At 53.9% G+C, this 27,871-nt stretch overlaps 2 protein-coding genes across 8 annotated transcripts in view, besides 5 other annotated features; one reads left to right on the forward strand and one right to left on the reverse strand.

The window, feature by feature from the left end:
* The window catches only part of TMEM132A (transmembrane protein 132A), a 12,700-nt gene extending 5,885 nt beyond the window's left edge, over positions 1-6,815 (forward strand). For 2 of the 4 annotated variants that reach the window (XM_017017951.3, NM_017870.4), the window contains 7 exons: positions 166-315; positions 1,342-1,540; positions 1,640-1,783; positions 3,198-3,400; positions 4,144-4,420; positions 4,908-5,099; positions 5,520-6,815. In XM_017017951.3, coding sequence (XP_016873440.1) covers positions 166-315; positions 1,342-1,540; positions 1,640-1,783; positions 3,198-3,400; positions 4,144-4,420; positions 4,908-5,099; positions 5,520-6,563 — 2,209 coding nt within the window. In that variant the 3' untranslated portion in view covers positions 6,564-6,815. The remainder of the gene's footprint in view (positions 1-165; positions 316-1,341; positions 1,541-1,639; positions 1,784-3,197; positions 3,401-4,143; positions 4,421-4,907; positions 5,100-5,519) is intronic. The other 2 variants (XM_017017952.3, NM_178031.3) reach the window with 1 other exon arrangement.
* Positions 5,680-5,829: a silencer, noted in NCBI's record as "silent region_3380". NCBI's record gives its function as "represses an Ori minimal core promoter by ATAC-STARR-seq in GM12878 lymphoblastoid cells {active_cell/tissue: GM12878}" and the evidence as "EXISTENCE:reporter gene assay evidence [ECO:0000049][PMID:35858748]".
* SLC15A3 (solute carrier family 15 member 3) lies at positions 6,740-21,832 on the reverse strand. Of its 4 annotated transcripts, XM_011545095.3 has the most exons (9): positions 20,650-21,832; positions 16,188-16,477; positions 13,345-13,492; positions 11,691-11,801; positions 10,778-10,946; positions 9,136-9,294; positions 7,526-7,681; positions 7,172-7,222; positions 6,740-7,029 (listed from the first exon to the last, which is right to left on the reverse strand). In XM_011545095.3, the coding sequence occupies exons 1-8, from the start codon at positions 21,205-21,207 to the stop codon at positions 7,206-7,208; spliced, it is 1,608 nt and encodes a 535-aa protein (XP_011543397.1). In that variant the 5' UTR covers positions 21,208-21,832; the 3' UTR covers positions 6,740-7,029; positions 7,172-7,205. The 4 variants fall into 4 exon arrangements, 2 of the variants coding, with proteins under 2 accessions (XP_011543397.1, NP_057666.1); NM_016582.3 differs by lacking the exon at positions 7,172-7,222; NR_027391.2 differs by lacking the exons at positions 7,172-7,222; positions 10,778-10,946.
* Positions 14,818-14,867: an enhancer, noted in NCBI's record as "active region_4786". NCBI's record gives its function as "activates an Ori minimal core promoter by ATAC-STARR-seq in GM12878 lymphoblastoid cells {active_cell/tissue: GM12878}" and the evidence as "EXISTENCE:reporter gene assay evidence [ECO:0000049][PMID:35858748]".
* Positions 21,115-21,274: a silencer, noted in NCBI's record as "silent region_3381". NCBI's record gives its function as "represses an Ori minimal core promoter by ATAC-STARR-seq in GM12878 lymphoblastoid cells {active_cell/tissue: GM12878}" and the evidence as "EXISTENCE:reporter gene assay evidence [ECO:0000049][PMID:35858748]".
* Positions 21,595-21,824: a silencer, noted in NCBI's record as "silent region_3382". NCBI's record gives its function as "represses an Ori minimal core promoter by ATAC-STARR-seq in GM12878 lymphoblastoid cells {active_cell/tissue: GM12878}" and the evidence as "EXISTENCE:reporter gene assay evidence [ECO:0000049][PMID:35858748]".
* Positions 22,005-22,144: an enhancer, noted in NCBI's record as "active region_4787". NCBI's record gives its function as "activates an Ori minimal core promoter by ATAC-STARR-seq in GM12878 lymphoblastoid cells {active_cell/tissue: GM12878}" and the evidence as "EXISTENCE:reporter gene assay evidence [ECO:0000049][PMID:35858748]".

Below are 27,871 nucleotides of genomic sequence, written 5' to 3' on the forward strand. Positions count from 1 at the left end.
TGAGCTGCACTGAGGCGGGGTCCTTCTGGGTTGGAGGATGGTGAAGAGGAGATTCAGACTGGAGCCAGGGAGGTCAGATGGCTTTGGCTCCTTGTCTTTCCCCTTCAATCCAGCCCACAGTTCAGCATGCACCTTGCCAAACTGAGCCTATACTCTCTTCCCCAGGATCAAGGTGAAGAAGGGGCTGCATGTGACAGCCGCCCGCCCAGCCCAGCCCACACTCTGGACTGCCAAGCTGGACCGCTTCAAGGGCTCCAGGCACCACACCACCCTCATCACCTGCCACCGTGCTGGGCTCACAGAGCCAGATTCCAGGTGGGCAGTTTCCCTCCACCCAGGGGGCAAAGGAGGGAGGGCTGGTTATAGAGTGCAGTTGAGCAGATTTGGAGGCTGCCATGCTGCCTCTAGATCCCCAGGTGAGCAGACCCAAGGACAGATTTTTTCAAGGAAGCAGCACAAAGCAGGCATAATCCATTCCTTCATTCATTCATTCGGCCACTATCTTCCCAGCCCCAGCCATGTGCCAGGCATAGCAAGTGTCTGTGAGTCTTATTCTAAGAGATGCCAACCAATCCTGTGCCCCAGGTAGAGCCCTCATAGCCACTACTCCATCCCCCTGCTTCCACCAAATGATCCTTTCTCTGGGCCGTTCACATTCCCCCAAAAAGCCCAGCTGCAGTTCTGCGGTTGTGAACTCTTCTTATTCATGCCCTGAGCCTGGGTCAAGGCCATGGACTCAGTAGCCCCAGTTCGAATTCTGGTTCTGATGCTTTTGGGATGGGCAAAACCTTGGGCAAGCCAGTTAACATTCCCCTACCCAAGCCTCAGTTTCTTCACTTGTGAAATAGGAATAATAATGCATCCCTTAGCATTTTTGAAAATAAAATACAGTGCTACATATCAGGCACCCAGGACGGTTCCCAGCACATAGGTTTTTGTTTGATCAAAGGAAGCTTATCATTCAGAGGGTCAAGTGTCTGGTCCTGGGACCTGGAAGTGAATCTCCCGCATGCCACCTCAGTGGCTGTGGAAAGCGGAAGTCTGGGGGAAGCGGGCCCGGGCAGGCAGGGGAGTGAGCCACCTTGCCAGGTGGGAGGTGGTTAAATGGCTTCATGGATCTTAGAGAGGCCAAGAGTGGGTCAGAGTTTGGGGTCTAGAGCGAGGATGCTTGGGTTTAGATCCCAGCCCCGCTACTTTTTGCTGTGTGGTCTTAAGTGAGCTATGTAACCTCTGTGCCTCAGTTTCCTCCTGTGTAAAATGGGGATAATCATGAATGCAGGAAGTGCTGAGGCCATGCCTGGCAGCTAGCAAGCATTTGGCTTCTCTGTCTCCTTTGGCCAGCAGTCCCCTTGAACTGTCTGAGTTCCTATGGGTGGACTTTGTGGTGGAGAATAGCACTGGTGGGGGCGTAGCGGTCACTCGCCCCGTCACGTGGCAGCTGGAGTACCCAGGCCAGGCCCCTGAAGCAGAGAAGGACAAAATGGTGTGGGAAATCCTGGTGTCTGAGCGGGACATCAGAGCCCTTATCCCACTGGCCAAGGTAAGGAGACCTCCATCTCTGCCTGGGAAGGCTGGAGGCCAAGTCCCAGGAGCCCCATGAGCTGAGGGGCCTGGGGCTGAGCCCCTCCTCCACCCCCAGGCTGAGGAGCTGGTGAATACAGCACCACTGACTGGAGTGCCCCAGCATGTCCCCGTGCGCCTTGTCACTGTGGACGGCGGGGGGGCCTTGGTGGAGGTGACAGAGCATGTCGGCTGCGAGTCTGCCAACACACAGGTCCTGCAGGTGAGTGGCAGGTGCCCAGCTCATGTGAGTCTGCATTTGTGTGGGCACAGTTACGCACACACACCTTTCCTCCTTCCTCATGTGGGTCCCCAAGAGAACAGCTTCTTCTTGAGACGAGAAACCTCATGGGAGGAACCACAGCTTCAACTTCTTTTGTTCCAGCCACCTCTCTCCCGAGTCAAGTAACCCTAACAGCCCCCCGACCTTAGACACTTTCACGCTCATTATTGCACTGGCAAGTGCGCTGGCCTGAGAGAGTCGAGAGCACATACTCTGGGATCAGAAAGTTTTAGTTTGAAACACATCTTTGTTGTCAACCAGCTTTGTGATCATGGGCTGGTCTCTTAACCTCTCTGAGCCTCGTTACCTAAACTTTAAAATGAGAACATATCTTCGGGTTGTTGTAAGAATTAAAAGCACTTTAAGACAGTATTTAGCAGATAGCAGGGGCTGAAACAATGGCAGTTATTGCTGTTATAATATGATGTAATAATTATACAATGGTAAAAATTATTATTATTATTATTACCGGTGATTGTGAAGTGAAATAAAAGGGAGGGTGGTAGAGCAACTTCCTCTATCTTGAAGTTCTAAGAGGGGAAGCATGGAGTCTGCATGTATGCAAATCCCAGCCACCTGAAGGGGGAAGGTGCCTTTCCCCACTTGTGGTCCTTTGCTCAAATGTGTGTGGTTCCTGCTGGAGGGCCTTGGTGGGAGATCTGCTTTGTCCCACCTCTGCCTACCTGGCTGTAGCTGGTTGCCAGGTGGCTCCAAGAGCAATGTCAAAGGCCAGCATGAATAAGGAGCCAAAGTTTTGGGTTCACACCCCTGCTCTGCCAGGAGGAAGACTGGTATGCAATGGCCAGTTCCCCTGACTGAGCCCCAGGGAACCTCAAGGAATGGCCCCTACAGTAAAATCTTAAACAAAGAACAGGGGCTTAACCAACAATCCTGCTGCAACATGCATTCCAGTGACACACAGAGCTGAACTCAGTGGGAGCCCGTCCTACGGCCTGAGGTCAGGGCTGCTCTCTTCTGGCCCATGCCTTTTTTTTTTTTTTAATCTATTTATTTTGAAACAGAGTCTCACTCTGTCCCCAGGCTGGAGTGCAATGGTACAGTCCGGCTCACTGCAGTCTCAGCTACCCAGGCTCAAGGGATCCTCCCACCTCAGCCTCCCCAGTAGCTAGGACTACAGGCATGTGCCACCACACCCGGCTGATTTATTGTATTTTTTGTAGAGAGGGAGTTTTGCCATGTTGCCCAGGCTGGTCTCAAACTCCTGGACTCAAGCGATCCACCCACCTCGGCCTCTCAGAGTGCTGGGACTACAGGCATGAGCCACCCACCCGGCCCAGCCTCACACCTGTCTTTAGTGGCTTAGCCCGCCCACCTGCCCTCTGCCCTTCCATAGGTGTCTGAGGCCTGTGATGCCGTGTTCGTGGCTGGCAAGGAGAGCCGGGGCGCCCGGGGGGTGCGAGTGGACTTCTGGTGGCGCCGGCTCCGCGCCTCGCTGCGGCTGACCGTGTGGGCCCCCCTGCTACCGCTGCGTATCGAGCTCACCGACACCACCCTCGAGCAGGTCCGCGGCTGGAGGGTACCTGGCCCTGCTGAAGGGTGAGTGGAGGCCTGAGGAAGCTGGCAGGCCTTGGCGAGTCACACTGGGACGGAGAGGGCGCAGGGGACACAGCCATGGGCCCAAGTCGGGGTCAGAAAAACTGCCCTGTTGCTTGCAGTTCCTTCTGCCCACCTCCACCCTGGGCCGCCCAGCCAATGATCGCTTTCTGTGAAATTGCTGACTTCCGCATCCCTCTCCTCCTTCCCTGCCTCACTTCTCCCGTAGCACCCTCCACTTCCTAATCTACGTCAGTACTGGTTAATGTTGCCTGTCCATCCTTTCCACGCTCCTCCCCCGAGAATGTCAGCCCCTTGAAGCTGCGGTCTGTCTATGCTGGTCGTACCCTCAGAGCCTAAGATGACACAGAGCTCAGGAAATGAACACCCTCGGAGGGGGCTCCCCAAAACCCAGGGAGAGGTGGCCCACGCCTCTGGAATCTAGCTTCCAGGCCCTTCAGAGAGTGAGCGCCCCCAGGGTCCCCGTAAGAGAGCGTCTCCCCTGCGGTCCACTTGGGAGCAAGAGCGGTGATCGAGGCACAGCGCCAGTCGGGAGTGGGCTGGGGCGGCTCGCCTGCAGGTGGAAGGGCCTGACCCCAAGAGGGGCGGATGTCTGCGTTTGAGAAACAGGAGCTGCTGGTGATTAGGAGCCGCCGGGGACGAGCTGCGGGTCTCCAGCAGCTGGGCCCTGGGCAGGCTGGGGCCGCTCAGCGCTGACGGCCAGTCCCGGCCTCCCCGCCCTGCAGGCCTGCGGAACCCGCTGCAGAGGCGTCGGATGAGGCCGAGCGGCGCGCCCGTGGCTGCCACCTGCAGTACCAGCGGGCCGGTGTGCGCTTCCTCGCCCCCTTCGCGGCCCACCCGCTGGACGGCGGCCGCCGCCTCACGCACCTGCTTGGCCCCGACTGGCTGCTAGACGTGTCCCACCTCGTGGCGCCACACGCCCGCGTGCTGGACTCGCGTGTAGCCTCTCTGGAGGGTGGCCGTGTCGTGGTGGGCCGGGAGCCCGGTGTCACCTCCATTGAGGTAAGCAGCTGGGGACCAGGAGAGTAGACCCCCTGAGAAGGGTGGAGGGGCCCCCAAAATGTTCGTGGGTGGGAGTGAAGAGTGTGCCAGGAGCCCAGAGTGTGTGGGGGAGTTGTGCGGTCTAGGTCTGAGTGCAGTGGGATTGGGGATAGGCTCAGAATGGGGTGGCCGCATAAGGGGGGAAGCCCTCTAGCTATGAAGGGCTGAGGTGTGGGTAGTGTGGGGACCGGGTCTTGAGGGAAAAGGGAACTGCCCCCTAGGTGTGGGATTGGGGTCCAGGTATGCACCGGGGTGCAAAGAGTAGAGGGATAGTAGCCCATGAGCCTGCTGGGAGTACCCGGTTCCCTCTGGGTGGGGGCTGTCCGTGGCGAAGACCTCCCCCACCTCCGGAGGGCAGCCCGTGAGGGTGCTGGGAGCACCCGGTTCCCTCTGGGTGGGGGCTGTCTGTATGGAAGGCCCCCCACCTCCAGCTCCTTTCCACCCTCAGGTGCGTTCCCCACTGTCTGACTCCATCCTGGGGGAGCAGGCGCTGGCTGTGACGGACGACAAGGTCTCAGTGCTGGAGCTGAGGGTGCAGCCAGTGATGGGCATCTCGCTGACCTTGAGCCGGGGCACTGCCCACCCCGGGGAGGTCACAGCTACGTGCTGGGCACAGTCAGCCCTTCCCGCCCCAAAGCAGGTGACAGTTGGGGGGTCAGGGGGATGAGGTCAACATCTCCAGATGGGGGCTCATGGTAGAGGGGAATGGGAGGAAGGGACCCTGGTACCTCGACCCCTTAGGGTTTTCAGAGTGAGGACTGACTCTGTGAGGTAGTGAGCTCTCTGCAGCTGGAGGTGATCAAGCAGTGGCTGGAGTATGGCAGTGGGAGGTTGGTTAGATGGCTCTAACTGAGGACCCTCCCAATAACTCAGACCCTAGGGCTGAGTGGCAGACAGGTGATTGACACGCGTCCCCTCTCTCCCTGTGTTTTGTCTATCTGCCTGTGTCTCTGTTTTCTCTCTGGTCTCTCCTCCATGTGGCCTATCTCTGTGGGAGTGGTTTCTCTGTGCATGCGTGCGTGCCCTCGCATGTCTCTGCCTGTGTCTGTGTGCCCCACAGGAGGTGGCCCTCTCCCTATGGCTGTCCTTCTCTGATCACACTGTGGCCCCAGCTGAGCTCTACGACCGCCGTGACCTGGGACTGTCCGTCTCAGCCGAGGAGCCTGGTGCCATCCTGCCAGCTGAGGAGCAGGGTGCCCAGCTCGGGGTGGTGGTGAGTGGGGCAGGCGCCGAGGGGCTGCCGCTGCATGTGGCTCTGCACCCGCCCGAGCCCTGCCGCCGGGGCCGCCACCGTGTGCCTCTGGCCTCTGGCACCGCCTGGCTGGGGCTGCCCCCTGCCTCCACTCCAGCCCCTGCTCTCCCATCCAGCCCTGCTTGGAGCCCACCAGCCACAGAAGCCACCATGGGTGGTAAACGGCAGGTGGCAGGCAGTGTCGGGGGCAACACAGGTGTGAGGGGCAAGTTTGAGCGGGCAGAGGAGGAGGCCAGGAAGGAGGAGACCGAAGCCAGGGAGGAGGAGGAGGAAGAGGAGGAGGAGATGGTCCCTGCCCCTCAGCATGTCACTGAGCTAGAGCTGGGCATGTACGCCCTGCTGGGAGTCTTCTGCGTGGCCATCTTCATCTTCTTGGTCAATGGTGTGGTCTTCGTCCTGCGCTATCAGCGCAAAGAACCTCCCGACAGTGCCACTGACCCCACCTCCCCCCAGCCCCACAACTGGGTCTGGCTGGGCACTGACCAGGAGGAACTGAGCCGCCAGCTGGACCGGCAGTCCCCTGGCCCGCCCAAGGGGGAGGGGAGCTGCCCCTGTGAGAGTGGGGGAGGAGGGGAGGCCCCTACCCTGGCCCCTGGCCCTCCTGGGGGCACCACCAGCTCCTCAAGCACCCTGGCCCGAAAGGAGGCTGGGGGGCGGCGGAAGCGAGTAGAGTTTGTGACATTTGCGCCAGCCCCTCCAGCCCAGTCACCTGAGGAGCCTGTAGGGGCCCCTGCTGTGCAGTCCATCCTTGTGGCAGGCGAGGAGGACATCCGCTGGGTGTGTGAGGACATGGGGCTGAAGGACCCTGAGGAGCTTCGCAACTACATGGAGAGGATCCGGGGCAGCTCCTGACCCTCCACAGCCACCTGGTCAGCCACCAGCTGGGGCAACGAGGGTGGAGGTCCCACTGAGCCTCTCGCCTGCCCCCGCCACTCGTCTGGTGCTTGTTGATCCAAGTCCCCTGCCTGGTCCCCCACAAGGACTCCCATCCAGGCCCCCTCTGCCCTGCCCCTTGTCATGGACCATGGTCGTGAGGAAGGGCTCATGCCCCTTATTTATGGGAACCATTTCATTCTAACAGAATAAACCGAGAAGGAAACCAGAGCTGGGACTGCTGCCGTCTGTCCGGTAGAGTGAAGCAAGGGGGCTGGAATAGGGCCTGTTCAGCCCCTGTCCCTGCTGAAACGGCTGTGGGAGGCTGGGCCCTGGGACGCCCTCTCATAGCGTCCAGCGATCCAGACAAATAGGAGAGCCGTGACGGCCTGAATGCCAGCCAGCAGGAAGAAGTAGAGGTCCATCCGGCAATTGTTGATGTTCCCTGGGGAAAGGAGGGGTTAGATTTGGGTCAGGACAGGGATCCTCTGTCTTGCGCCCTGTGCCTGCCGTGTCCTAGCCCTGGGGCTGGCAACTGAGGCCATGTGGGCAGTGGTGGGATCTGAAGACACTGGACAGATACCCACTAATGTTTGACTTCCTGAAGATCTCCAGGGGTGTCTACAATTCCTCTTCAGCTATTCAGAAGGGGGCGTGAAATATAAACACCATGAGAAAGGTAACCCTTCAGCCAGAGATGGCAGAGTTCCAGAAGCAGAAAGGAGCCTTGGAGGTCCACTAAGTTCAACACTTGGGGAAAGAAAGGCCCAAGGAGGGAGGCCACGCTGTGGGTGACTGGCCAAGCCCGGGCTAGAACCCCATTCTCCCAAGTCTAGCCCTCTACTTGCTTCTCCCCAGAGTCAAAGCACTTTAGCAGTTGCCACCTCCTTTCCAAGCCTCCCTCCATCCATGTCCCACTCCTGGGGAGGCCCCATACTCACCAAAGTCCTTGGGGCAGTGCAGCCAGCCCCCGGGCAAGGACAGCAGTGCCACTAGGCTGGAGCCCAACAGTGAGCCCACCCCCGACAGGCAGAAGAAGATGCCCATGATGGCGCCCTGCATGGAGCGCGGGGCCTCTGAGTAGGCAAACTCCAGGCCTGCAGAGGGGGAGCAGAGACGATCTCAGGGGCTGGTGCAGGCGCAGAGAACAGGCCCAGGCCCCTGCTTGCTGCCCCTGACCCTGCCCCCACCAAGCCACCCTCCAGGCTTCCCCTGGATGCCTGTCCACTCAGTGGCAATGACAGCACCCATGCATCAATGCCGCCTTCCCCTCTGCCCTGCTCACCTGCCTCCTGGCTGAACCCCTGCACCGGGGTACTCCATGCGCTGCCCCAATAGCTCTGTCTCCCCTCCTCCCCTTCCTGCCAGGTCTATCATTTCAGTGACAGCACCATCTTTACCTCCTCTCTCTCCCCACCCTCTCTGCCCACCTTCAACGTCATCGTCAAATTGTTTTGATACAGCCTCTGAAATCTATTCTAAATATATGTCCTTCTCTCTATTCCCTCTGCCCTGGGTCCAACCCCAGCCCTGGTCACTTTCTGCAAATGCCTCTTAAACTCCCCTGACTCCTGTCCTCCTCACACAGCCAGGAGCATCAGTCTAAAGGACCTCGGATGGGGTCCTTTCCCGGCCAAAACCCCCTGGAGAGGAGGGGCGCTGTTGCCTTCAGGAGAAATCCCAAGGTGCAGGCTCAGCGCACAAAGCCCTTCGACACTTCGGCTCCCTGCACCTCCCATGCCTCTCCAGCCCTATCCCCCACGCTTCCCAAAGGCTTGGGCCTTTGCTTATGCTGTTCCCTCTGCCTGTAAGACCGCTCCTCCTACCCACTCACCTGCCCGCCTCCTCTCCATGCTTAAGGGCTCCCACTGCACTCTGCCCTGACTTCCACAGCACTCCACTGGCTCACTGTTTGCCTGACTCTCTCCCCATCTGAGTGAGCTCCCAGGGTCAGTCTTTTCTTTATGTCTGACCCAGCCTAGCCCTGGGCCCGCAGCTGAGGAAGCCCTTGCTTTTTTGCTGACTGAAGGGCCTGCCCCAGCCTTGCAGCTCTAGCTCCCAGCCCGGGGAAGGGGGTTGGGAGGGTGGGGAGCGAAGGACATAGAAATCCATTACTATGACCCAGAGTACTGTGTGCTATGATAGAGAGATGAACACGGGGCGGGAAGGGAGGACCCCTTCTGCCCAAGGACCTTGGTATTTAGGCTCAGAATTGAAGGGGATATTGGAGTTCACCTTCAGTCTAAGGTAGAGGGAACAGCAACTTCAAAGACACAGAGGGTGGAGAACCTGGCACCAGGGGAATACGTGGAGAGCTGGTGTGGGAAGTTTCTTGCTCGCCTCCAAATCCCCAGTGCCTGTCACATAGGGGCTGACTTGAACCAGGTGCTAATTATAGACCCCCGTTGGGTGAATGAGCCCTGGTCAGAAAACACTGCCTTCCTCCATGCAGATGGGCCCTGGGGGCTGCATCCCTGGGGTACCTGACTTTGAGGTGCCACCGGGCAGAGCCCATCACTGGTGCAGGAGCAGGGGAGGGGATCCAGGGTACCTGGGATGCTGGCAAAGATCTCACTGATCCCAATGAGCAGGTACTGAGGGATCTGCCACCAGATGGACAGTGGTGCCGCGTTGTACAGGACCTCCCCAATCTGCTGGGACACGGTCTCGTTGTGGTGGATGTAGTGTAAGCGCTCCATCTCCAGGACTCCTGGTGGAGGAGCAGAGGGGGATTATAGTCAGGCCCACCCCAGGCAGCTTAGCCCACAGAAGAGCTTGTACATGGTGGGGATGGGGTACTCATGAAGCAGCCAAAGATTGAGCAGCAGGCAAGGAAAAGAATGCTGGACTGGGGGGTGGAGGAGGGGGCCAAGATGTGACCAACTCCTCCCTTTTGGTCTTGGCTGCTAGAAGCTCCAAGCTGAGTTTTGCACTCAATAACACTAACAACTCTCATTAATGGAGAACCTGTTATGTGCTAGGCATTTACCATGCATCCTTGCTGCGGAAGAAAGTGAAATAACTAGCACTTTCAAGTGCTTAACTAGAAAGTTAAGCAACTAGCCCACAGTCACACAGCTGATAAGTAGTCAGGGCTGGATTTGAGCTCTGGTATGTCTGGTTTCAAAGCTGGCCTACTTTCCATGATATCACATGACTTCTCTACTGCAACGTCAAGTATTGCTGTAGTGTTTCTAACCTGGCTTTCAAGTTTAACTATGTTATCTCCTTCTCCTGTGTTGCTTGGGAGATAGCTGTGCTCTAGTGGAATGAACATTGGACATGGAGTTGGGGGACCTGGGTTCCCAGCCTGGCTAGCTGTGTGACCTTGGGCAAATCACTTAACCTCTCTAGACTCAGTTCCCTTACTCAAGAAGCAGGAATAACATTCCCAGGATTATTGTGAGGATAAAATAGGACAAACTGCTTTAAGGATATAGCTGGAATAAAATCTAGTTGGGTTTTCACACTTTCAACACAATACCGTTTATGGAGCTTTCATTTCTCCAGCTCATACTTGTGATCCAGGCACACTACTGAGTGCTTTACAGACTTCATCTGCTGTAATCCTCACAACACCCCCCATCAGACTGAGTTCCACAAGGGCAGAGCCCTGCTCAGGGTCCGAATGACACCTGTCCCCATTTTAAAGACATAGCTCAGAGACTCTAAGGAACTTCAGGGTCATAAAGTTACTAAGTAAAAAGGGTTCAGGTTTGTGCAACAGTGTGAAAGACTTCTTTAGCTGATCCCCCCCACTGCCCCCACCAACCCCCACTTTGTAACAAATGGCTTCAGATCCTTTTGAAATGGAAGAAGGAAGATAATTTTTTTTTAAGTCTTCATTTGCCACTAAGTGGAAAATTCATTCAACACATTTATGGAGGGCCCACGTGCATGTTCATAGCAGTGAATAAAAAAAGAAAAACTATCTCTGCCTTCAAGGAGCTGATAATTCACTGGGGGAAAATATTTGTTCCTCTCTCGGCCTGAGTTTCTTCTTCTGTCAAAATGAGGGGCAGCTGGATTAGATAGGAGGGTCTCTTTCAGCTTGCACCTCTGGGAAGCCAACACTGACGCCCACTGGGAGAGGCTGAACTTGGTCCAGGCTACCACTTCAGCATCAGCCCATGGTGGAAGCAGACTTCCCCAAGCCCAAAGTTCAGCCCCCTGCCCCACACCCCTCTGCACACCTGCCACAATGACGGAGGTAAAACCAAAGAACATCCCCAGCGCCATCTTCTGCAGAGCAGAGGGAAGCAGCTTGCACCGCAGCAGTAAAGGGTCGATCAAGCGGTCCTTCAGAGGGACCAGAATCAGCACCACCACAACATTGGCCAGGAGGAGCCAGGCTTCCGGGATCTGGGCAGGAGGAAGTCAGGAGAGGCAGGCTAGCAGAGTGCAAGGAGCCTGGCTGCAGTCAGGAGACCTGGACTCTAGACTGGCCCTGGGTGACCCTGGGGTCCAGCTCCTTTCCCTCTCTGGAGTTCATGCTCCTCAGCTGTGTAACCAGGGAGTGGGATTATGTAGAGATGGCAAATAGGTTCCTCTTGTATTCTAACTTTTATCAATTGGTAGTGGCTGATTATGGAACATTTATGGGCTCAGCATAAAAAAAGTCATGATTGACTAGTGATGTCTGCCATGGGCAAGGAAATGGACTACAATGGCAAATTTCTCATATATCTGCCAGCTCTGCAGATCATTCATTTCATGAGTCTGAAATGCCAAGGAACTGGTTTAGAAAGTTCTGGGAAAGGCAGAGATCTAGGTATCTAAGGGTCCCAGAGAAAGAGGGGACAAGGAAGAGTTGAAAAGGGACCTAAGTATGCTTGATCTGAGGGTGCAAATTAGGCAGCGAGACCTGCTTCAGAGCAGCAGCATGGGGGTGTGCAGCTGGCCTGAATTCCTTCAAGCAGTTGAGCATCTTGGCAGGATCCCTGCGCTGTGACACAAGTCCTCCCACCCTCCAGGTGCTTTTCCTGTATCCTGAGGTTGCCTTGCAGGCAGGAAAGGGGAGTGTGAAGGCAGTTTCATTTCCTCCTCTTCTCAGAGGAAGCCGCTACCTGGCTGAACTGGGTGCCGAACACATGCTTTATCTCTCACCGTGTAGCTGCTGCCCTGGGCTCTCAGGGCCACAGAGATGTTGGCCGGGTTGGCTGGGAAAATGTTTGGGATGTGGAGGTGAAGACCCTGCAGGACATAGGTGGACTGCATCTGCCAAGAGAGACAGGGGTGAGGCTGGAACAGAAACGGCCATGCCCCCTCCCAACTCCTAGGTGGCATTCCTCAGCGCCGTACCACAGGACAGCTGGGCAGCTGTCCCCTCTCCCAGTCTCAGGGAGATAGTCACCTTCCCACCCTCCTTTCTCCTAGGTAGCTGGGCTGGGCAGGGAGCTTCCTGTGCTCTGCTCTCAGGCCTGTAGGCAGTGCGTGCAGCCTTATCCCAGAGCCCAGGCACAGCTGGTCTGACTAGTATTTGTGTCCCCAGGGCCCAGCACAGGGTAAGCATGGATAAATGTTTGCTGAAATGGGAAAGATAATGGCTGCCCCCACAGGGAGTTCTCATCTGACACTGAAGCCAAGCTGAGTCCACAGGTTGACACAAGCACTGCATAGACATGGACTTGCCAGAATGGCTCTGGACACAGCTGCAGGAGCAGGGCCCAGGGGCCACCTCCAATACCACGCACTGCCCCTTTAGTTGCTATATAATGGAGTAGGATCCAGGAGACTCCCACAGGAAGGGCTGGGGCAGGGGAGAGCATGTGGACTGCTCAGGGCAGCAGCCATTTACCAACTGGTATGGAAGGAAGTCAGTATCTGATTGGTATGACTGAGAATCAGCCATGGACACCCTCCCACCACATGCCGCCATCTCATCATAGAAATACTGTGTGCCCCTAAGTAGCAGGCTGGGAGCTCCAACAAATGTTCCTGTGAAGGGGGTATGGAAGGCAATGACCTTATGGCCTGGGGGCTAGCATTAAGCTGCTGCCCACCCTCCTATCACACACACACACACACACACACACACACACACACACACACACACACACAAACACATCACTAACCTCCCCACTGAGGAGTAATATGGTGAGTGGAAGACAATAGTTCTCAACTCTGAGTATCTGTATCATCTGAAAAGTTTCTTAAACTAGAAACTTCCCCAGCAATTCTGATTCAATAGCCTGTGGTTGGACTTGGAATCTGTTTTTAAAACAGCATATTTTTAAAAGCTCTGCCGGTGATTCTGAAGCACAGCCAGGCTGGGGAACCACTGTTGCAAAGTACTCACTTTTGTGAGCTTGCCCCTGACCTGCCTGCCGTGGGGCCTTGGGCAACTGACACACCCTCTCTAGGCCTCAGCTACCAAGTCGGACAATCTGAATGCAGCAGAGCTGGAAAAGCCTCTCGTTTAAGCCACCCATTGTACACATGAGGAAACAGGCCCAGAGAGATGAGGTGACTTATTCAAGGACCTAGCCTGGCACAAAGCCATCCCAGTAATTCAACTCCCGCAGGAGGTATAGCAGGAGGAAGCTGTCTCCAGAGTTCCTCTTGCCGTACCACCGAGGGAGTTGGATTGCTGAGACGGCTTTGTGCCAGGCCCCATGCTAGCTGGTACGGGGCAGCACCTCACTTTATTCCCAGACTTTCCCCCTTTCCACATGCCCTGGGCCTCTGTGATGAGAAATGAGGCCATTCAGATGGTGAGTGGGGAGCCAGGCCCCCAGAGAAAAAGGGCAGGTATGCTCACCTGGAAGTAGACCATCCAGTAGGGCACCAGGGTCACCATGACGGGCAAGATCTTCACCAGCACCTGGAAGTTGGCGATGTCCTCTTGCGGGGAAGCCCCTGGCTGGGGAGACCTCTCGTCGGCCAGCACGCGGGCACATTGACGGTCTCTGTGAGACCCCAGAGGCAGCAGATAAAACAACAGTCAAGGCTGGGCTTGGTGGCTTATGCCTGTAATCCCAGCACTTTGGGAGGCTGAGGCGGGTGGATCACCTGAGGTCAGGAGTTCAAGACCAGCCTGGCCAAGATGATGAAACTCCGTCCCTACTAAAAATACAAAAATTAGCCAGGCTGTTTTGGCGTGCACCTGTAGTCCCAGTTATTTGGGAGGCTGAGACAGGAGAATTGCTTGAACCTGGGAGACGGATGTTGCAGTGAGCCAAGACTGTGCCACTGCACTTCAGCCTGGGCAACAGAGCCAGACTCCCTCTCAAAAAACAAGCAAACAAACAAACGCAGCAGCCATAATCTTCCCCACCACCTCAGCCAACGTTTTCACTTCTACCATCACCCCCTAATTTAATCCTCCTCCCAGTATCAGCACGTCTCTGAAATCAGTACCCTCATCTCCTCCACCCCGCTGTTAGCACCACCTTCGCCATCATCACCACCATCGCCAAGGCCAGCATCCTTACTATCATCACCTTTAGTAAGGTGACTGCTGTCAGCAAAATCGTCCTCTCCACGGGGTTTCCATTCACATCACCATCACTCTTTTTCAATGTTGGCACCACTACTGCCAATATTATTCTATCCTCTCTTTTGCTGCAAAAGTGCCTAGCCAAGACTCATTCCGCTCTAGAGCTGTGGCCCCTCTGAGTCCTGAGGGAAGTAAGACCAGAGACTGTGGAAAACAGTCTGAAGGGATTTTTTGGCTCGTAGCATCAATTTGCCACGGGAACCAGGGGAGTCCCAGTCCAAGCCTGACTCAGAGAGAGACGCTGTCACAGATTTGATACACCAAAATTCCCCCCCCTTGCTGTCTCAAGTCCATCCTCCTCAACAGTCAACATGGCAACCCTCTCCCTCCATGACAAGGCATAGAGAGTGGAGAGGTGGGGGTAGAGGGAATATCAGTAGGCGACAAGATTGATCAATCACTGCTGCAGCCTTTACCCTTTGCCCTTTGCCCTTTGTCCTGAGAGCTTTCTGACCTCTTTTTGTCCAAGAGCCTTGCACTGTCCTTTGAGATTCCAAAAGGGACAATATTAGTGTAGTCATCTCCAAAGACAGCCACTGTCAACTCCACCCTTCCCAGCGTGTGCTGCCATTTTGCCACCAACAGGTGGAGTTTACTTTCACTGCCATTGTTTCCCTGCTGGCCTTGTGACAGCTTTGACCTGTTAGAATGAAGCAGAAGTGGTGGTCTGGGACTTCAACGCCTCTTAAGGACCTTAAGAAGACCCATAACTTCTGCTTTCTTCCTCCCCGGAACATTCATTCTTGGAAAGCTCCCTCCTCTTGGAACCCTCACACGACGCTGTGAGAAGTTCAAGCCACATGGTAAGACCACACGAATGGGAACCAAGGTGCTCTGGTCCACACAGTCCCATCTGAGCTCACAGCCAACAGCCCACATTGACTGCCAGCCATGTAAGTGAGCAGACTCAGAAGTTCTAGCCCTTTCCAGGTCCCAAATGACTGCAACCCCAGTGCCATCACGAGAAGCAGAACGGCCCGACTGAGCCCAGTCACTCAGAACTGGGAGAGGAGATAAAAAGGTCATTTAAATCACTAAGCTCTGGTGTGGTTTGTTAGGCAGCGATAGGTAATGAAAACCACCACACTTCTCGGCTCCTGACAACTTACAAACCTCTAGCAATATGCCAGACTGGGGAAAGCATGTTCTTCACCTTTTTCATTTAGATCCTATTGACAGGAGCTGTAACTGGCTGCAAGGTCTGGAGACAGATTTGCTTGGCATAAGTAGACAGTTAATTTAGGAAGGCGAGGGGCAAAAGGAAGCCATGGGACCTATGCAAGGTCATTCAGAACCTTCCTCCTTTGGATGTCAGCTAATGAGGAGGGAGCGAGTTTGGCCGATTTCCTAAGACGCTGTGATGGTTAGTAACAGGGTAATGTGGAATTATTTACATTGTATCCTAACAGCCTTCATTGGAAACATCATCCCCATCATCCTCTCCTTTAATGCCACTGTCATCCGCATTGCCAATGTTTGTGTCTTCAGTGTAGATACCAACACCATCATCCTTATCCTTACTACCATCTTCACTGTCAAGACCCTGATCATCCTCACACTTCCTTTTTTTTCATTTTTCTTTTTTTATTTTTTTCCTGTTCTGTCACCCAGGCTGGAGTGCAGTGGCACCATCATGGCTCACTCCAGCCTCAACCTCCTGGACTCGATTGATCCTTCTATGTCAGCCTCCCAAGTAGCTGAGACCACAGGCACAGGCCACCACACCCCACTAATTTTTGTATTTTTTTGTAGAGATGAGGTTTCACCATGTTGCCCAGGCTGGTCTCGAACTCCCAGGCTCAAGCAAGCCACCAGCTTCAGCCTCCCAAAGTGCTGGAATTAGAGGGATAGCCACCGCCCCCAGCCCCATCCTCACACATTCTGTACGTAGATGGCAACCAATAATACCACCACCACTACCACCACTACCTTGACCTCCATCCTCAGTCACAGCGGGCAGCTCTGGCCCACTGGAGAGCAGATCATCATAAAAAGCTATCACTGTAGCTGAACCAGAATGTCTGCAACCTGGACCATGCCTCCCCGGGAGCGATCCAGCGCTTCTCCAGGCTTGGAGGCTCCCTGCACCCAGAGCCCCTCCTTACCTGGCCGAGTGTCGTTGCCACAGCTGGGGGCAGCAGTTTTGGAGAGCGAGCTTAAGCATAGAGGACACTTGGCTGCCCATCGGGGGCTTGGTGATGAAGACGGGGGTGGCAAAGAGGAAGATGAAAAATGCCAGGCCCACACAGCCCACAGGGATGCTGTAGCCCAGCAGGAAGCTGATGTTCTGCTGAATAAACGCCACCACCAGCAGCGACAGCACAGCACCCAGGTTGATGCTCCAGTAAAACCAGTTGAAGAAGCGGCGGGTGGCGTCGCGGCCGAGATCCATCACCTGCCATTCAGGAAGGGGTGACAGTGAGGGCCAAAGGGGTCCGGGGCACTCTCTGTACCCATACCCCTCCCTCCTACAGAGACACTTCTTGGGTCAGTGGGTGGTGGGCGTTCCGACACTTTCCCAGTCTCTGATCACAAACAGATGCTCAGTAAATATTTGCTGAGTGAATGAATGAATCCTTCTCTTGGGAGTCACTTGCTAAAGATCAGGACATTTGGCCCAGCTGCTTTTGCATACCCATGACACACACTGCTTTTTTATTGTCGCAGAGGAACACATACAACAGATGTCTCAGATGGACTTGTTCATTTCTGGTTGATTTATCCCTTTGTTTTTCACTGAGCAACCTACACTATTCATTATTTTTTTTTTTTTGAGACAGTCTTGCTCTGTTGCCCAGGCTGGAGTGCAGTGGCACAATCTCGGCTCACTGCAAGCTCCACCTTCCGGGTTCATGCCATTCTCCTGCCTCAGCCTCCTGAGTAGCTGGGACTACAGGCACCTGCCACCACACCTGGCTAATTTTTTGTATTTTTAGTAGAGACGGGGTTTCACCTTGTTAGCCAGGATGGTCTCGATCTCCTGACCTCGTGATCCGCTCGCCTCGGCCTCCCAAAGTTCTGGGATTACAGGCGTGAGCCATCGCGCCCGGCCTATTCATTACTTTTATAATCAGAAAAAAGCCAATAAGATCTCAGTTTTATTGCACATTATTAAAAATGTTGTATGCATGTTACCGAAAGAACAGAAGTCTGAGCGAGAATTTCCTCTGCAGTTCGGAGAGGCAAGCAGAGAAGCCTACTGTGACCCATCCTTTCACCCCACTTTTGTCCCTCTGATATACAGCAGAGGTGGTCCCAGGCACAGCCCCAAGAGTGAGTTCTGGCCTGGTGAAAAAAACGTTTTTTTTCAGGCCTCCCAGCAAGGGCAGATGGGCTGAAAATCTTTACCCAGAATTTGGATCAATCAGCAACAGCCAGGCCCCAGGCCCCTTCTGGTCTGTTGGCTCCAGTCAGCTGCACTAGCTGCTTCCAAATCTCCCAGGCCCAGGTCCCAGATTCTGACTCAGCAGGTCTGGGGCAGGACCTGGGCATCTGCATTTAAAAAAAAAGCAGTGAGGACTAGGGGCCATTTCAATGGAGAGAATAAATACTTCTCTACATTGCTAAACCAGTCACCCTTTCCATGCCCCTGCAAATCTCAGGATCCATTACTGCCTTTCAAGTAGAGATTTATATTTCCACTAGCTAGGGCGATTTTGTCAAACTTTACTTTCTGTAGTTGCATTGGGGAAAAGACAAGTATTTATTTTTCCTTTTTCAAATGTAAAATTATAGTCCACACAGATGCACTTAAACCCGCATTCCATTGGAGATTCTGCGGGGTCCTCCTGGAAGTGGGGAGGGAGGGGCATACCAGCTCACTGATAATTCTCGCTCTAGACTTTCAAGCAGAAAATTGAATAGGTCCCATTAGAAGCAGCCACTTCCATTTATTAATTGGAAGTAAATGAATGTGACTATTGTAACTCTAAGGGGGAAGACCAGGCAGCCCATTCAGGATATAAATGAGTTCTTTTAGAATGAGCAGATGCTTTGTCGAGAGTGATGGATGGCCCTTTCTGAAATCAGCAAGTATGTGAAACACGCAGCTCCTGGGGTATAGCTGTTGCCAGATGGTGCCAGTCCCACCCACCCCCACATCCCCATCTGACTGCCCCCCTGAATTCTGCAGCCGCTTCCTGCCTGTTGTGAAGTACCCACTCTTGTTAACCCATATGCTATCTACACTGCAGCCGGAGCCATTTTTGAAGAGCTCAAATCCAGTGATGTCCATTCCTGCCTCAAATCATTTTGGTGTTTCTGCACTGTCCTAGGGATCAGGTCCCGACTTCATGAGGCCTTGTGGCCTGCCTTTGCTCCACCCAAAGTTCGTGCCCAGCCAAGGGGAGAACGTACAGGAGCTTCTGGCCCTGTTGATGCCACGGGAGGCTCTGCTCAGTGGCCTGGCCTCCAGAAGATCAGTTTTGCCACAGGGGGTACTAGATGGGTGAGGCTCTCTGGAGGTCAATAGGGTCAATGACACAGGTTAAGGGTACTGGGTTGGGGGTGCTAGTGGGATGTCAATGAAATAATAGGATTAAAGGAAGATGAGAGATTCCCATTGACAAATATTGGGGGTCTCTAGGTCAGAAAGAATGTCAACAAGAAGTAAGAAACGGTCAGGGCTGGCCGGTCGCAGTGGCTCACGCCTGTAATCCCAGCACTTTGGGAGGCTGAGGCAGGTGGATCACCTGAGGTCAGGAGTCAAGACCAGCCTGGCCAACATGGCGAAACCACATCTCTCCTAAAAAAATACAAAAACTAGCCAGCGTGGTAGCGGGCACCTATAATCCCAGCTACTTGGGAGGCTGAGGCAGGGAGAATTGCTTGAGCCCGGGAGGTGGAGGTTGCAGTGATCTGAGATCGCACCTCTGCACTCCAGCGTAGGCAACAGAGCGAGACTCCGTCAAAAGAAAGGAAGAAAGAAAGGAAAGAAGGAAAGAAAGAGAAAGAAAGAGAGAGAGAGAAAGAGAAAGAAAGGAAGAAAGAAAGAAAGAAGGAAAGAAAGAAAGAAAGAAAGAAAGAGAAAGAAAGAGAGAGAGAGAAAGAGAAAGAAAGGAAGAAAGAAAGAAAGAAGGAAAGAAAGAAAGAAAGAAAGAAAGAAAGAAAGAAAGAAAGAAAGAAAGAAAGAAAGAAAGAAAGAAAAGAGATGGCCAGGGCTGGCCTGGGGGCATGAAGTCATCATCAAAGGATCCTAAACAAGCTGGACAAGTGACTCCTTGTCAAGGACACTGGAAACTGCTAGGTGCTGAATTGTGGGTGCCAATTGGATGAAACGATCCTTTTGAAAAATGTCCCCTTTATGAGTATAATATGTGCAATCAAAGAACATTTGATAAACTGAGACAAGAAGAAAGTGCAATTAGTCCAGTGGCCTGATCATACCACTGTGACAATCTTTTTCCAGTTTCCTTTCGTTGACACCTCGTCTTTCCACATGGCTGCAGTCCTATCTGTATGCAGTCCTGCCTCCTGCTTTTGCTCATTTACACCATATGTGGTTATTTTAATAATATTACATTTTAGTCTAAATTATTGTCTAATATCCCACTGGGAACAGCTATCAAAATATAGCCGTGTTGTTGGGCATTTACTCATTCATTTAGCAAATACTTATTAAATTTCTTCTACGTGCCATGCTCTGTTCAAGGGGGAACGGAGAAAGGCTCAGAGGTTGAGCTAAGGGAGAAGACCAGGCAGCCCATTCAGGATATAAATGAGTTCTTGCCCATGTGGCTCCAGCTAGTGAAAGGCAGAGCTGGGATCTGAGCAAGTCGGCCTGACAGCCTCTAGCACTGCTGGTAGGAAGAAGCTGGCTTGCTCCTGCCCTGCCCGCACATCCCCATAACACACAGAGAGGAGGTTCATGGTGGGACCTGGAGTCCAGCTGCCTTTACTCGGCTCCTCGACCCTCCATGTCACCTTGGGCAAGTTGATTAATGCCATGAAACCTCTCAGTGTCTTTCTCTGTAAAATGGGCATAATAATTCCTACTTCCTGGGTGGTGAAGAGTATTAAATCAGTTAAACAGTGAAAGTGCTTAGCATAGGGCCTGCAAGTAGCTCAAAAAAGACCAACCTGCCTGGCGTGGTGGCTCATGCCTGTAATCCCAGCACTTTGGGAGGCCTAGGCAGGTGGATCACCTGAGGTCAGGAGTTCAAGACCAACATGGTGAAACCCCACCTCTACTTAAAAAAAAAAAAAAATTACAAAAATTAGTTGGGCGTGGTGGCAGGCCCCTGTAATCCCAGCTACTCTGGAGGCTAAGGAGGGATAATCGCTTGAACCCGGGAGGCTGAGGTTGCAGTGCGCTGAGATCGCGCCATTGCACTGCAGCCTGGGCGACAGAGTGAAACTCCGTCTCAAAAAATAAAACAAACAAAAAAACAACCATGGTTATTCCCACTGCGGTTGCCATCGGTTTTGCAAGGGCTAGCCCCCCTCTTCTTTCAAATCAGGAAACTAGTGCAGGCAGGGGACCTGGTTTGTCCCAGGTCACGCTGGGGGCCAGCCCTCCTTCCCTCCACACCCGCCGGAGTATGCCGGGGCAGGCCTCCTGCCACTCACCTGGTCGGCACCGAAGGAGGTGAGGTTGCTCCGGACGGAGCTGGCGGCCAGGCCGAGTAGCAGCAGGCCCGCGTAGAGGACGGGCGCGCAGTAGGGGCTGGGCGAGGAGCGCGGGCAGCCGGCCGAGGGGCAGGCAGGTCCCAGCGGCGACGCGGGCATCTCTCCGCAGAAGGAGCTGCGGCCGTCGGGGAAGGCGGTGGCGGGCAGCAGGCCCGAGGCGGCCAGGTAGAGCAGCAGGCTGAGCGCGACCGCGCGGTAGCGGCCCAGGTACACGTCGGCCAGCCAGCCGCCCACGGGCGCCAGCAGGTAGGAGGCGCCCAGGAATACCAGCGCGGCGCGCGTCGCCTGCTCGCCGGTCCAGTTGAAGTTGGTGCTGTTGAGGTACAGCACGAGGTTGGCGGTGACGCCGAAGAAGGCGGCGCGCTCCAGCATCTCCACCAGCAGCACGGCCGCGCCCGCCGCCCGCCGCCACCGTCGAGGGCCCCGCGCACCGCGAGGCAGCAGCGGCTGGCGCTCCCCGGGCACGCGGGGCTGCTCCCGGGCGCGCGGCGCGGGCATCCTGGCTCCGGGCTGGGCCCCCCGCGGCTCTTCTCTCCTCTCCTCTCCCCGCCTCAGAGCCCTGCACTCCTGCCCCCGGGCCTCGGCCCTCTCCCCCACCCAACTGGCTGGCCCTCCTTTCTCACCGCTTTGGCCCACCCTTCCCTCCTGTCCCCTCTCCCTTTCTTGCCCTACCCTTCCTGTCCCTCCGCTCACTACCCGGACTCTACCACCTCCTCCCTAATTCTCAACTCCCCTCTCCCTTCCCCCACCCCTAAGGCTTCCTCCCCGCGCCTCTCCTGCAGCTGTTTCTCCCTAACTCTCCCCTCTCCTCCCTCCACCTTGACCCTTCCTCGCACTCTTGTTCACACTGCGACCCTCCCTGCTTCACTTCGCTGCCCCTCCGCCTCCCTTTCCCCTCCCCGTTTGTCGCCCCTTCCTGTTGTCCCCTCTCCTTATGACTCCTGGCCTGCCCTGGGCGTGGGGTGGGGGCTCCCTCTGCCCCAGTCACCCTGCTGCCCCTTGCCGTCTTCTCCACCTCCTCCCTGTCCCCCTCACCCCCACTGCCTACACTCCCCTCTCAGTCCCCTGCAGCCCTCCCCCCAGGCTCAGCCTCTGTCCCTCTCTCGGCTTCTTGAGAAACTCTGGGCTCCCCTCGCTTCCCCTTTCACAGGCCCTATCCGCAGTCCCCTGCCTGCATCACATGGCGCTACTGGGTGTTTAGGAGAAGTGAAAGCCTGGGTCACAGGGCTCCTGCCCGGTCAGCTTTCTAAAAACCTCCCTCCTTCTCTACCTCTGCCTCCTACCCCAAACCCCCGCTGCTGGCCTCCTTAGAGCCAAAAAATTCCAGGAGGAATTTTTTCTTTCAGTTTCATTTCTCGCCAGGATTCCACTTTTGCTTTACCCTCTTCCAATCAAACTCCACGCCTCCACCCGAGGCGCCACGGGTAGAAAGAAGTGGAAAGGCTACCTGCATCATTTGGTCACACTCAGCCATTTCACAGATGCAGAGACAGACCCAGTGGGGCTAGGGCAGGAAGGTGGAGAAAGATTGGTTCCTGGTAACTGAACTAGGGGTGAAGCCCTGCCCCGGGCTCCTGAGTGGCAGGGAAATTCACAGCGCAATTCGGATTGCACAGAGGCTGCTGTGAGGAAGGAAGTGGGGCACTTTCAACAAGCCTGCGGGCCATAGAGGACCACAAGTGAGTCGGGATTGAGAGGGACACCGACCTCAGACTAAATCAGAGTCAGCCTCAGAACTCCTAAGCACCAGCCCCACCCTGACCTAGGAGCCCGGGGGATCTGGCCTCTGCTCTCCTCTGATCTCATCTCAGCCCCATGTTCACTCAAGTCCAGCCAGCCGGCCTCCCAGGTTCCCCTTCCATGCTAAGCTCCTCCCTGCCTCAGGGCCTTTGTCTTTGCTGACCCCTCTGCCATAACTGCTCTCCCTCCATATCCTTGCATGGCTGGCTGCTTCTCTTTATTGAGGTTTCAGCATATATGTCTCCTTTGTAGGGACCTTCCCTGATTTTCCCATCTAAGTAGTTTCCTACTGGATTCTCAGCATCCCCCATCACATTGTCTTGTTTTAATGTCTTCAGAGCACATATTACTTGTTCAGTTAGCACCAGTAGAATAGGCCCTCCATCAGATCAGAGACCTTTTCTAACTCTTCACTGTTTTATTCTCAATGGCTTCCCAGTGCTTGGCAAATAGTAGGTGCTCAATAAGTATTGCCTGAATCAATGAATGGAAAGAGTGTCCCAAGGCAAAATTTGTAAGAATAATAATATCAGGAAAGCTAAAGCTAAATAAACTGAGTCTCACAAAAGCTATAGATACCAGCAAAAAAAGCACTATAGATACCAGCAAAAAAGCGAGGGATTTTTTGTTGTTGTTGTTTGTTTGTATGTTTGTTTTGAGACGAAGTCTCACTCTGTCGCCCAGGCTGCCATGCAGTGGCACAATCTCGGCTCACTGCAACCTCCACTTCCTGAGTTCAAGCAATTCTCCTGCCTCAGCCTTCTGAGTAGCTGGGATTACAAGCGCGTGCCATCACGCCTGGCTAATTTTTGTATTTTCAGTAGAGATGGGATTTCACCATGTTGGTCAGGCTAGTCTCAAACTCCTGACCTCATGATCCACCTGCTTCGGCCTCCCAAAGTCCTGGGATTACAGTTGTGGGCCACTGTAAGTTTTTAACATGTTAGAGAAGCCAGGCCAAGAGGATGGTGAGAAAGCAAAGCCCTCCATCCCAGGTCTTCCTGCAGTCACTGCAGTCAGGACCATGTGCTCTCGTGAGGTGGGCAGAGCCTGGAGGAGAGAAGAGGAGACTTCAATGGAGCTGCACCATCCCTCGACTTGGAGGAAGCTTAGGTCATCAGCTGTGACGGTATGGTGACGAAGTTCAGATCACATCAGATCCAGCTCCTTCCTCTCTTGGCAAGATCACTAGGCTGGCAGATGAGCTCAGACTTAGCCCAGAGAGCTGAGTCTTACCCAGAGAGCTGAGAGAGTGCTGGCCTGCCATCGGTGATGTTCAGCGGGTGGTAGATGAAGGGAAAGGCTTCTAAAAGCAGTGTGGCCTGCAGAGAAAAACCCAGGAGAGGAAAGTAGCAAAGAAAAGAGGAGTGCAGCATCTTTTTTTTTTTTTTTTTTTTTTTTTTTGAGACAGAGTCACACTCTGTTGGCCAGCCTGGAGTGCAGTGGCACGATCTCGGCTCACTGCAACCTCTGCCTCCCAGGCTCAAGCAATTCTCCTGCCTCAGCCTCCTGAGTAGCTGGGATTACAGGCGTGTGCCACCACGCCCGGCTAATTTTTGTGTTTTTTAGTGGAGATGGGGTTTCACCATGTCAGCCAGGCTGGTCTCAAATGCCTGACCTCAGGTAATCCATCTGCCTTGGCCTTCAAAAGTGCTGGGATTACAGGTGTGAGCTACCGCACCCAGCCCAGCGTCTTTCTTACTGCCCAGCCTCCATCTCCAAGGTACCAGGGGGCCAGGTGCTGGGCTGGTTCACTGGGGAAAGTCCTGGGGACACATTTAGCTGGGGAGAAGGTAGGGGTGACTTGCCTCTTGCAGATAGGGGAAGTAATGTTCCAAAAGCGGACATGACTGTCACCCAGGGCACGAGTCACAACACTGATGACCAGTGGGAGGGAGCTGGAGAGCAGAATCTTAGAACTGAGGAGCCCCAGAGCTGGTGGGCCATGGCCGTGACCCACAGGTCTATGTGGTTTGGCTCTGATAGTGTTTAGTTACATGGTGTTTAGTTTTTGTTGTAGCTTCTGTTACTGTTTCTCTTTTTATTTTTTTATTTTTATTTTTTTTTGAGATGGAGTCTCACTGTGTCACCCAGGCTGGAGGCTGGAGTGCAGTGGGGTGACCTCGGCTCACTGCAACCTCCGAATCCTGGGTTCAAGAGATTCTCGTGCCTCAGCCTCCCGAGTAGCTGGGACTACAGGTGCCCGCCACCGTGCCCAGCTAATTTTTGTATTTTTAGTAGAGAAGGGGTTTCGCCATGGTGGCCAGGCTGGCCTCAAACTCCTGACCTCAAGTGATCCACCTACCTCGGCCTCCCAGAGTGCTGGGATTATAGGCATGAGCCACCGTGCCCGGCCATATTGTTTTTTAATTTTAAAACATTTTTGAAGTTTTAGTTATCTCCTTAAAAATTCAGAAGTATTGGCCGGGCACGGTGGCTCACGCCTGTAATCCCAGCACTTTCGGAGGCCGAGGTGGGTGGATCGCCTGAGGTCGGGAATTCGAGACCAGCCTGACCAACATGGAGAAACCCCATCTCTACTGAAAACACAAAATTAGCCGGGCGTGGTGGCACAGGCCTGTAATCCCAGCTACTCAGGAGGCTAAGGCAAGAGAATCGCTTGAACCCAGGAGGCGGAGGTTGCAGTGAGCCCAGATCGCACCATTGCACTCCAGCCTGGACGACAAGAGCGAAACTCTATCTCAAAAAAAAAAAAAAAATCAGAAGTATTAGCATGAAGATCCGGACTTTTGGCTACTCCTGAAATTGCAGAGGATCTGGCATCTCTGGGCCTGCATGCTCACAGAGAGCCAAGGGCAGCAACACTGTCTGGTGCGGTGACATGCTGAAGTGTCCCTGCAGATGCCTTGGTTGGAGGCTGGTGAAAATGAGCCTTTTTACCTGTGCATCTAACACAGCTACTGTTGAGTGTGAGAAGCACAGGGGCTGCGTCATCAGCGAGCTTTCTTAGAGAGATCACAATGAGGATGTTAGGTGAAGTGGCTTCTCGAGTCTCCTAGATTCTCCTGATGGCACTCTGCCAGGGCAGGGTGAGAGACGTCAGATTTTAGGAAGTTCAAAAGTAGGACTTGACTAACCACTTAGGCCCCCAGCTCTACCTTTTAAAACCCAGCACAATTACTTTATGTGGTTGAAAAAAATGAAGCAATGAAACCTTGATCCAACTTTCACTCTCCAGGTACAATTTCTTAGTAATGCACTGGCACCATCCTGCTGTGTTGCCCACAGGTTTTATAGTTCACAGGTGAGCATCAAATACACACAGCCTCATCAAGACTGTGCAAGCAGGACCAAGAGGTGGCCCCTGCAGTTGAGGCAAGGTTATCCCCCAGATCTAGCCAAGGCCTGCCTCACACCTTCAGAACAATTTAGATTTCTCTTATACCTGGCCAACCCACTCTCTACACCTGTAGGGTGATCCTGGGCTTGACAATAGGTGAAAATTAAAAAATTGAGCCACCTGGATAAAAGCATAATAGCCACAGATTGAGGAGAGGCAAAGTAGAGGGAAGGACAGTGACAGTCTGGGGAATTTTTTGACTGCTATGCAGGCATTCATCCACAGCAGCTTCTTATGCTGCAGTGACCAATCCTAACATCCTGCTCACTCCAGGGTGGTCAGTCCCAGCATGCCCTGGTGTGTAGCAGGTGCACCAGGAATTGCAGGTAACCTACCGCTGAATTGTCCACACATCATTCCCATTCCCAATGGAGACAAGTGGCTGCCCGTGGAATATCATTTACTTGTGGCAGGACAAGGTTGAGAACTGATGTTTGGCCCCATCCCCATGACTACAAGGACAGCCCGGTGCCTTGAAAGGAGTAGGACAGAGCAGACACCTTTCCAAGCCGATGGGGCCAGAATGAATCAGCAGCACATTCCCAGGGCCACAGCTTAGGATGAGACATAGACTGTGGACTGGCTTGTGGAAGGCCATGGCCCCCAGTGGGGAGGATGACAGTAGAGGATACACCCTCATATTGTCTTCCCTGTCCCTTAGCACCCAGGAGGAGTGAGGCCATCCACAGACTGGGATCTGGAGGGGGAGGCAACATTTTGCCAAAGATAGTTTTTTCTTCTTACATCATTTTATTAAGTGTTCATTCTCACCCACCTTTTAGAAAATGGATTGCAGTCATGCCTGCCCCCTGTTGCAGATATCCCCAAGGGTCCTGCCCCTAAGTTCCATTGATGTTGCCTGGTCATTCTGTTTTGTGTCCACCCATCTCTCTCTCACCCCCACAACACTGCCCCTGTTTGGGCAGCCAGCATTCCCTTCCTGAACCACTGCAGTAGGACCTTTCGGTTCACGTTCAGCACTGAAGCCAGCGTGCTTGAAACCCTGAAAGGGCACCCTCTGGTTCTGGATTCTCTAGGACAAAGTCTCAACTTCTTTGTCCAACTTTGCAGGCCCTCCAGGATTAACCCCTTCCGGACCAACTCCCAAGTTCATCTCTGACTGCTCTCTCTCCATGTCTCCTGCTCCCACCCTGCCTTCAGCCATGGTCAGCTTCCAGCCGCCTTTCATCTGGAACTTGGCACATGCTGCTCCTCTAGCCTAGAACTTTCTATGACTCATGAATACTGATCCCTCAGGACTTGACCCAGATGTAACCTCTTCTGAGTAGTCTCCCCTGATTTTTCAAGGCTGGGATCCTGGGTTAGTCTGTTCTTGCATGGCCGTAAAGAAATACTTGAGGCTGAGTAATTATAAAGAAAAGAAAAGAGGTGCTGGGCGTGGTGGCTCATGCCTGTGATCTCAGCACTTTGGGAGGCCGAAGCGGGTAGATCACTAGGTCAGGAGTTCACAACCAGCCTGGCCAACATGGTGAAACCCCATCTCTACTAAAAATACAAAAACTAGCCGGGTGTGGTGGCGGGCACCTGTAATCCCAGCTACTCAGGAGACTGAGGCAGGAGAACTGCTTGAACCTGGGAGGTGGAAGTTACAGTGAGCCAAGATTGTGCTACTGCACTCCAGCCTGGGAGACAGAGCAAAACTCTGTCTCAAAAAAAAAAAAAAAAGAAGAAGAAGAAGAAAAAGAAAAGAGGTTTAATTGGCTCATGGTTCTGCAGGCTGCATAAGAAGCATAGTGCCAGCATCTGCTTCTGGTGAGGCCTCAGGAAGCTTGCAATCATGATGGAAGGCAAAGGGGAGCCAGCATGTCACATGGCGACAAAGAGAACAAGAGAGAGAAGGGGGAGACCCCAGAGTCTTTTAAACAACCAGATCTCCCATAAACTAACAGAGCAAGAACTCCCTATTACCATAAGGGATGGGGATGGTGATGAGCCATTCATAAGGATCTGCTACAACGATCAAATCACCTCCTGTCAGACCCCACCTCCAAAACTAGGGATTACATTTCAGCATGAGATTGAGGGGACAAACATCCAGCC

Source organism: Homo sapiens, chromosome 11, assembly GCF_000001405.40.
Source record: "Homo sapiens chromosome 11, GRCh38.p14 Primary Assembly".
Classification (NCBI taxonomy): domain Eukaryota; kingdom Metazoa; phylum Chordata; class Mammalia; order Primates; family Hominidae; genus Homo; species Homo sapiens.

Excerpts from the sequence above, each read along its gene's own strand:
- SLC15A3 (NM_016582.3), bottom strand. The coding sequence starts at position 21,207 with ATGCCCGCGCCGCGCGCCCGGGAGCAGCCCCGCGTGCCCGGGGAGCGC. Across the intron at positions 9,295-10,777 it reads TACCTCCGTCATTGTGGCAG|GAGTCCTGGAGATGGAGCGC; the intron begins GTGTGCAGAGGG and ends CTCCTCCACCAG. Across the intron at positions 7,682-9,135 it reads GATCTTTGCCAGCATCCCAG|GCCTGGAGTTTGCCTACTCA; the intron begins GTACCCTGGATC and ends CCCCCTCTGCAG.